Consider the following 9,951-nt stretch of genomic DNA (forward strand, 5'->3'; position numbering starts at 1 on the left):
GGGGGTTGTTTGCCCTTTAACATTTGTTCTTTTAAGGTTTCTTCTCATTATCAAGTGACACTCTTTTTTTTTTGTTCTATAAACTTACCACTGAGCTGTGATAAAATTGATCATTTAAAAAAATATGTGTTGATCTGTTGTGATCTATAACTTATTTTCTTATAGATTATCATGGGCACAGCTCAAGGCTAGTGGTACAAGAGCACCCCTTCCCAGCAAATTAAAAAGCCTGTTATTTTTGCAAAAGCATTAGAAGCTTTCAACAATGTTGTCAAGAGCCTTTCTTAACTCTTTGGTGACTGGTCTGAGTCAGTCACAGGTGGAAGGTGTGATGTGATCAGACAGGCCCTGACATTTCTTGTGAACTCATGAAATCCTGCATCTTTTCCAAATGTGCAATTTTGTTTTTGAAATTAATTTTTATTATCTTCACATTGTGTTGGATGATCAGAGGATTATAATTATTCCCTGCCCCAGGGGAGAGTATTGCAAAGGTACATAGGGCATGAACGTGGGGAGGGCAAGAAGTGTGCCCAAAGCGTGCTATAGCACAGTGTGTGTTCCACTCCTCATACAGCAATGAACTGGTGAAGGAGTTAAAATCTTAATGATTTCCAAATGATCAACAGTTTTTAAAAACATAAATATGCAGCATGAGAGCCTACATTTGTACAAGTGTATGGTTGTGTGTGTGTGTGTGTGTGTGTGTGTATGAACATGCTTGCATGTATGTGCTCACAAATGGGGAGGAAGCACAAGAGGCAAAAGGCAATGGTTTGTTTCCTTTTTGAATTTAGGAGGTATGTTCAAGACAAGGAAGTTCTTTTCTTATCTTCATCAGACTACTGGAAAATGGAATAAAAATACAAACCATAAACTTCAGGCACTCAAGTTTCTGAGTTAAGAGTAGCATTCAAATGTTATTCCAAACCTCTATGGTCATAAGATTTCTATATTTTAAGTTGGGTGGTACAATACTAGCTCTAAGTAGGCGGTAAAAGTTAAGGAAATGTATTGTAATTTCTAGAACAATCACTCCAAATGTAATGCGATGAAGTATTGCTAAAAAGCCAACAGAAACATTAAAGTGGAATTCCAGACACTTCAAATAAACAGTCAGGAAAGCTGAGGATAATTCATTTAAAGTGTCTAGGGGCAGATAACAGGCCTTAAATGAATGGTTAAAGAAAAGTCAGCAGAAGAGAAAAGCAAAACAAAAACAAAAAGAAAGCACTCTGTATTTCCTCTCCTAAACATTGTTTAAAAAGCAGCTTGCAGGATATAGAGAAAATTCTTTTGGAAGAACGCTTGCTTAAGTAAGGTACCTAAATATCTTACCTAAATAAGATATTTTCGAACAACAAATACTCATACTTTTAAAGAAATACAACCACAAGCTCTGCAACTTAGAGATCAAAAAATGAGAGGCAAGGAGAATTGATACATGGAGAGGAACAAATATAGCACCACAGGACTACTGAGTTTATTAGAATTGATGTTGTCAAAAATGGAACTGTCATATGGATGAGATTTTAGAAATTATACAGTATGCAAAGGTTAGAGGGGGATTTGAATACTATGGTAAGTACAAGCAACAGGCAAATGTGTTCCAGTGCACCACTGATGCACTTCAAATAGAGAAAAGAGCACTTTGGAACAAAAAAATTATAGTTAGAAAGGATTTTTAAAATAGTTTAAAAAAACTTTCCGGAAATGACAAAAGATCTGAATTATTAGATAAGAGTGCTTATCATGTCTTAGGAAAAAGAAAGTAACCATTCACCAAGACATGTTCCATGGAAGCGACTATACTTCAAAAATGAATATAAATCCTGTCAGCACCAGAAAGAAGAAAATCATTTATAAGGGGAAAAAGATCATTCTTGCTCCAAATTATCCCAACAATATTTGGGAAGGAAAGACAAAAGGGAGTGAGAGAAAAAGATTGTGATCCAAGAATTCTGTATATTTGGGTTGCTAGTCATCTGAAAAAACAATGAAATAATTTTCCAACAAACAAGAAAAAAATTAATCCTTTGTAAGATACTCGTGACCTTTCTTGCCATGCTAATATGGAAAACTTTGGATAAGCGTAGTGTATTAGTTAGGGTTCTCTAGAGGGACAGAACTAATGGAATAAATATAAAATTCTGCTTGTTTAGTTTCTCTGAACAATGCTGTAATAAGCATTGGTGCCTCATTTTATGGGCCCTAGAGGATACCTACATGTGATGATTAAAGCTGAGTGTCAACTTGATTGGATTGAAGGATACAAAGTATTGATCCTGGGTGTGCCTGCCAGGGTGTTGCCAAAGGAAAGGGGAGTTTATTAAGTATTAACTCACACGATCGCAAGGTCCCACAGTAGGCCATCTGCAGGCTGAGGAGCAAGGAGAACCAGTCCCAGTTCCAAAACTGAAGAAATTGGAATCTGGTATTTGAGGGCAGGAAGCATCCAGCACGGGAGAAAGATGTAGGCTAGGAGGCTAGGCCAGTCTCTCGTTTTCACATTTTTTTCTGCTTGCTTATATTCTAGCCTCGCTGGCAGCTGATTAGATTGTGCCCACCCAGATTATGGGTGTGTCTGCCTTTCCCAGCCCACTGACTCAAATGTTAATCTCCTTTGGCAACATCCTCATAGACACACCTAAGATCAATACTTTGTATCCTTCAATCCAATCAAATTGACACTTAGTATTTACCATCACATGTAGGTATCCTCTAGGGCCTGTAAAATGAGGCACCATGGATAACGATCTTTGGACAAAAATGCTTATTACAGCATTGTTCAGAGAAACTAAACAAACTGAACACTTTTCAGTAAGGGAACTGTTAAATAGGTTCTGTTCATCCATAGCATAAACTATAATGCAGTGGATAAAAAGAGGAGAGAGAGAAAGAGAGAAGTAGCAGGATTTCCTTCTGATATTGTTGAGTGGGAAAAGTAAAATGAAGAAAGCACATACAACATACTACCATCCACTCATAAGTATTACATATTGTATATATGTACATACACATATACAAAGATGAATGGACATTTGTATATGATTGTGAGAGCAGGGGGCAATATGGAAATCAGCACAATTTGTTATCAGCATGGATGGCTGGAGTGTGGTGAGGTGGGCTTAGAGGGTGATGTGGGTGCAGGGAGGAAGGATGAAATAAAAGGGAGAGAAAAGGAAATAGGAGAAAAAAAGGACTGCAAAGAGAAATAAACAGTATGTTTTATGTATTCATGTAAAGATAGATATGCATGCTTGAAAGAAGACATGAATAGGGCATTACATATATTTTTCATTGAAATATATATATAGATTTTTCTATTAACTTTTAGCATGCTAATGTTTTGCCAATTTGCTTCAGAATTTTTAAGAACAATAATATCAAGCTCAAAAGGCCTTACCCCTTCGTTCCTTCCTGCTCCTCAGCAGCACTGCTTTTCCTTAAGTTGGTATAATTCATTAACAGTATTATTGTATAATTTTACTACATTTGGATATATCCATATACAAATGGAATCATGTTTCACATATATTTTCCTTCTTGATTTTTACATTTGGCCTTGTGTTTTTGATATTTATCCCTGTAGATACATATAGGTCTAATTTGTGTCTTCTGTTGCATGATATTCCATTGTATGAATAAGCTACAACTTACACATGCTTTTCCTGACTGACAGCTATGTTGTGTACATTTTTTTCTTGTTATAAACAATGGCAAAAATCAATGTCTTTGTACATGTTACTGTATATATATGTGTGTGGGAATTTCTCTAGGGTACAGGCACACATGCATGTTTGCATATGCCCATATACATTATATGTTATGCTATGCATACGCACATTTTTATGTGCACAGTATAAGCATGTGCAGATGCACATGTATATGCTGCGTACACATGTACATTCATATGTGTACATGTATACATGTGTGTTTCACAGGTACATATCATGTAACATGGACTAACTGAAGATGCATATATCTTGTGAAACAGCACTTGCCATCATAGGAATAGAATGTATGTATCACACCCACATGCACACACACCTGCCTAGGAAGGCAATTGCTGCATGATACGAGACATACATCTTCAACTTTGCTGGTGGCTGTTGCCACATGACTATTCTATTGATTGTACCACTTGCTGCGCCCACAAGCAGTGTGTACCCTGCTATACCCCACATGACACTGGTACTTTTGGACTTAACAAAAAATTTCTAAGCAATCCAATGGATAATAAAACTTGTATAAATATCCACTGTACATGTTAAAATATATTAAAAATATCTGAAAGTAGTATTCTTGACTCGAAGACTATGTGCACTTCCAATTTTGATTGAAAAATGGATATTTTGTAGGTCAAAAAGGATGAAATATTGGCAATGACATGGAATTCAACCTATTGCCAAGTGGTGCTCCCATTGTGCAGCTGTGGTCATTTTCTTTTTCACAGCTTTGCTGATTCTGAACATTTGGTTTTATGTATTAAGTTTGCTTATACTTTCTTATATTTTACATTAATTTGATCATTATCTTTATCTTCTTACTTTCTTAACTACTTGAAAAAAATTCTTTATGCATTGTGAATACTTATTCATTGCCATGTGTCTTGTTAGTATATTCTCCCAGCTTTTACATTGTTGTTTGATTTTCATCATGTGGTTTTGCAGAACTATGCATATCTTACATAGTAAAATTTGTTCATCACTTCCTTGATGATTAATTAATTCTGGGCATGTGTAGAAAGCCTTTATTTATCCTAATATTATAAAAATACATTATCTTCTGGTACTTTTGTGACTTCATTTATTATGTTTAAATATTTGCCACAACTGCCAATAAATTTGGTATGAGGACTTAGGTAGGAGACTACATTCCTTCTCCTTCCCCTGCCCTGCCCTCCAATTGAGCCTTTTTTTTTTTGCGGCATTGCTTGCTTATGGTGCTGAAATGTTACATTTATAAAATCCAATACTTCCATTTATTCTTGGTTGTGTTTCTGGATTCTGTTCTATTCTATTTCTTTGATTATTTCTGCACTGGAATCACTGGATTTTAATCATTCTAGCCTTTAACATCTGACTGAGCCAAACTTGCTACCTAACCCCCCTATTTATTTTTCTGATTTATAAAAAAATCACTAAGTTTCTAAAAAGGAACATGTTTGGAATGTTTTGTGATTGCATTAAATTATTTATCACTACATGACATATTCTGAGAGTTCCTCTTCCAGACAAAAGTACATCTTTCACTTTACTTCAGTCTTCTTGTTTGTCTCTCAAGAGAGTGGGTGAGTCCTTGCTAAGCAAAACAAAACAAGACCCAGAAACTATAAGGGAAAAGACTCATGCATATGAGTACATAAAAATAAAACTAAAATTCACCAATGAAAAATATGGCAGAAGTTAAATTTAAAAAAAGGTCAAACAGGAAAAATACTTGCCAAACAAGTCAGAAGAAGAACATGTCACTATTGTAAAGCCAGGGATTACAAATCTGTCACCAAAATGCCACTCAGTGGAAAAATTGACAACACACATGGCAGTCCACAGAGAAAGAAAAGACTAAATAATAAAGAGACAGCATAGGATTGCTCACCACTGAGCCTGGAAAAAGGTAAACTGTCCCACATTAGCCAGTGTGGCAAGGTAGGGGGAGGGCCTCTGATGCTTTGGGAGAGCAACTTTGTGCAATGGCAAGTGTGTGGTATTACCTGTAAAGGCAAAAGACGGAACGTACCTAAATGCCAATCTAGAGGGACTTGGGAAAATGCATGATCATTCTTCTCTAAAATAAAATACAACGCAGTTTTGAAAAAGAATGAGTGAGTCTGAATGTGCTGAAATGTATTGTTATAGCAAAGAAACTTGGATTCAGAAGAGTAGGCACTGACTGCTCTAATTTGATATGAAAAGGATACGAACGCAATGAACACAAGTGAATACATGGGCTTACATATGTGTAAGATGTCTGGAGGCCCAAAAAAACTATTCATGATGGTTACCTCTCGCAAGGAATCTGGGGGTCTGGTTGTGAGGGAGATTTGCTATCATTTTTAAATATTTAGATTTTTTTAACACGCGCTTGCCCTACTTTAAATGAAAGAGGATTGGATGACACCTTGAGAATGCATCTGATGTACGAAACATTCATGTTTGTTAAACAAATATAATAGGACATGTCTCTTGGAAATCAATTATGATTTGCAAAGTTGGCCCCCTAAGTTCCTAAGTTTTGTAAAAATTTGAATTCAATTCCATTATACTTTCAAATTTGGGGAGCAGGTGGTTAGCAATCCAGATGTGAGAGGAACTGCATGCCAGCAGTCACTTTCAGTTTTAAGGAGAGAGGCTGACTAACCTCGGTGAGAGGGCCCTTAACAGAGAATGGCGGATGTGGCTGGGGAGAGAAAGCCGCAGACACTGCTTACAGCTTTTCCTGTCACACAGGGACTCTTGCTCAGCCTCTGCTCCTTTTCCTTCGGCCTCTTAGGGATGCACATTTTTAAATGATTCTCTGCTACTCTTCTGCACTGAGAATGACTTTTGTTTCTAACGTTTTTGGTATAAGATTTTCAATTATTTCCTCCGCCCTTTGTCTGACCCAGGTTGGAGTCTATGTCTTCTTCCTAGATCTTCCCACAGTTTTGGCTGTGAGGCCATTGTGGGAGTCCCACAGAAACAGGTTGCAGCCTAGTCACTGAGCAATTGCTCATATATCCTTTGTGAGTTCCGAGAATGCCGAGAGCTTTCCAGAGTAGTCTGGAGATAACATCCTGGACCTGTCCACACTTACTTTTGAAACAAAGCAGATGTGCCATAATTAGTGGTTGGTTCCATATTTTTTGGAAGACGTAATATTTTTTCCTGAAAGAATGCACAGAACAGATGCATTCCACTGCAGCAGGCTGAGTGTTGTAACAGGAACATGCACAGGAGTTTATGGGAATGGAGGTGAAGGAGACTGGGAAGGGTGCAAAGGAGGAGGATGAATTGTCCAAGTGGAAAGTGGTCCCAGAACAGAATTAGAGAAGGCGGAGGTATGACAGAGTGGAAAACAGCCTCTAATGGAATAGGCCAACTAGGTTAAAAACACACATGTAAGAAGCTCCCAGGGGCCTCTGCACTAACAAGGGATCTTGAGGATATGAGAGTGATGGGGATGTTTTCCACTCCTTCCCTTCTGCTAAGTCATTCCCTTTGGGCACAGAGAGACCTGGCTCTAAGGTAGAGTTCCTACACTCACCAGGTGTGTGTCAATATGGAAATCTCTCCTTTTCTAGAGACCCCACTTCCTCATCAGCAAAATGTAAATATTTAGCACCAGTTTCACAAAATCTTGTGCCTGGCACGTAGTAGTTGCTCAATAAATATAAGCTTCCATTTTCTCTCATGAATTCCTTTAGTGTAAGTACTACTTGTTCATCCACTTGGCATTCAAAGTCTTCCGTGTTTTGAATCACTCATCACACAAACGTGACCTTCTAATGTCTCTGAATGCTAGACTTTGACTTTAATAATAGAAATGACTAATAATATCTTAGCAAGACACTTCTAACTCGGAGTTAGATCCTTCTATCATATGCACCCTGTGATGCAGCTGGCCTAGGACCACTATGGTCCCCAAGAGACAGATGCAGAAATGGAGGCCAAGGCCCAAGTGCCTTGAAAGGCCACTAAGTTAGTGACCAGCTAGCCAGGACTCAACCCACTGACTCTCTTGCCTGAGGTGGCTACAGTCCTTGTCCGGCAGGTCATTAAACATCAAAATCACAGGGTTCTTCCTTTCCAAACGTTCTTACTTTTTTGCCTGTGGAAACCTATTCATTTTCAGGGTCCATCTTTTTTTGTGTGTGTGTAAGACAGGGTCTTGCGCTCTTACCCAGGCTGGAGTTCAGTGGTGTGATCTCAGCTCACTGCAACCTCGACCTCCTGGGCTCAAGTGATCCTCCCACTTCAGCCTCCTGAGTAGCTGGGAATACAGGCACACACCACCATGCCTGGCTAATTTTTTTTTCATTTTTGTAGAGATAGGGTTTCTTCATGGTGGGCCCAGGCTGGTCTTGAACTCCTGGGCTCAAGCAATCCTCCTTCTTCAGCCTCCCAAAGTGCTGGGATTACAGGCATGAGCCACCCTATGCCCAGCCTAGGGTCCATATTAAGACTTTTATATTTCAGAATTCTTCCAACACCAGTGTGATGGGTGTGTGTGTGTGTGCGTGTGTGTGTGTGTGTGTATGTGTGTAGAGAGAGAACATGTGTGATCTGAATGTTCTGGCATTTGTGTAGACACCCTTTGGGGATTCTGGCTATGCCTATATAACAATTTCTCCTTCGTGGGAAGAAAGCAAGGGTAGCAGGCTGTGACCGTGCTTTTTGTTTTTCAGCAAGGAAGAGCCAAGCACCGCATGACTCTTGTAGAAGATGGACTTTGCAGACTGCAAAAGGGGAAAGGAAAGGGGCGTGTGATGTTTGTAGGTGCCTTGGTAGAAAGTCCCTCTTTGCCTAGAAATTATTTAGGCATCCTTTTATAATGCTTCTGGAAGAACAGAAAGAAAAATCTATTTCCTGAATGAGATAAGGATGCTTTTCATTGAGTGTCAGTATTGAACCAGCCCCAACTGAAATGAGAATTGTACTTGGATGTCACTGTGGACCCACCCCCTCAGTCCTAGTAAAACCAACACAAGGGGTTGGGATTCTCCCCGTGCCCTACTTGAAATGATTGCTGGTTCTTGGGTTGAGCTGGCGTTTGGTGGCCGGCACCCATCTGCTATTGCCCCTAGAGGAGGTGAGTATGGTTCTGGGTCCCTGGCTGCTTGGGGCAAGGACACTGAGGTTGAGATCCAGATGTTCCTTGTCAACAATGCTGTAGGAATTAAAGAGTCTTTACAGCCCCTTAGTCCCGACATTTCCATCTCCTTGAGCTGAAAATAATCAAATTGAGGCTGACAGGGGAGTCTCCCCAGGTTGCGGAGTTCCTGTGGGCGAGCCTCCTCCATCTGGGGGACACCTGCACACCTGCAAAGTGCTCTGACCTGGGGACGGTGACGGTGTTGTGGTGAGAGGGATCCAGACCTGCCCTTCAAGAGCCTGCCTTCTGTCTGGGGGTCAGGTAGATGGCTTGCTGGGGAGGGCCACCGTCCTGGAGGCGGATAGGGTGGAGGGTCAGGAGAGGCCTCACAGGGAAGACTTATGCTACAGAGGGGTTATTTTCCTCAGGACTTAATAGGACTAAAACTCCTAAGCTAAGTTTTAAAGTAAGGCTGGGTGCAGTGGCTCACGCCTGTAATCCCAGAACTTTGGGAGGCCGAGGTGGGAGGATCGCTTGAGCCCAGGAGTTCGAGACCAGCCTGGGCAACACGGCGAGATCCTGAAAGTTAGGAAAGTTAGGCTGAGAGGGTCGAAGCCCAGCCTGCCTGGTGCTCAGGACACCCCTGAGCCCTGAATGGGGCTGTCTGGGGCCAGGGGGAGGGTCTGGAGTGAGCGGCAGTAGATGAGCTGCGGCCAAGGTGAGCCCAGACCTTCGTGGGTGCCTCTCTCTGGACCTGGCCCCCCTATGGCAGTGATTTCCGGTGCCTAGAGGGGCAGGGCTGGAAGCACAGAGAGGTGCGGTGGGGGACCGCACCCCTTGTCGGCGTCAGGTGTGGGGTGCAGGAGGCCTTTGCAAAAGGCCCCTCGCAATGCACTGACAATTTCACAGCGTTTATGATTTATAGCCGGGCAAAGTGAGTGGGAGTGGTCACCAAAGAGTAGATTAATGATTCCATTATCACACATCTTAGGTTTTTAGCTTTCTGGAAACGAATGTTCTTTGCTTTAAAACATGATGGCTGGCCTTCTCTGTGAACGGCGGGCCTCCGAGCGTTTCCTGTGGAGCTGGTTTCTGGTGCTGGTGCGCCTGTGAGATGGGCGGAGGGGCTCTGCGGCTGATCTGGAGCTTCCAGAA

At 40.8% G+C, this 9,951-nt stretch overlaps 1 long non-coding RNA gene across 2 annotated transcripts in view, besides 1 other annotated feature; it reads left to right on the top strand.

Moving 5' to 3' along the window:
* The window catches only part of LOC105378275 (uncharacterized), a 39,799-nt gene extending 31,172 nt beyond the window's left edge, over positions 1–8,627 (top strand). For both annotated transcript variants that reach the window (XR_945906.4, XR_945907.2), the window contains exon 3: positions 8,390–8,627. This is a non-coding gene — a long non-coding RNA (uncharacterized LOC105378275). The remainder of the gene's footprint in view (positions 1–8,389) is intronic.
* Positions 6,450–6,650: a silencer, noted in NCBI's record as "peak936 fragment used in MPRA reporter construct". NCBI's record gives its function as "represses an SCP1 promoter by STARR-seq MPRAs in K562 erythroleukemia cells {active_cell/tissue: K562}" and the evidence as "EXISTENCE:reporter gene assay evidence [ECO:0000049][PMID:32103011]".
* Positions 8,628–9,951: the final 1,324 nt, after the last annotated feature.

This window comes from Homo sapiens, chromosome 10 (genome assembly GCF_000001405.40).
Source record: "Homo sapiens chromosome 10, GRCh38.p14 Primary Assembly".
In the NCBI taxonomy this organism is placed as follows: domain Eukaryota; kingdom Metazoa; phylum Chordata; class Mammalia; order Primates; family Hominidae; genus Homo; species Homo sapiens.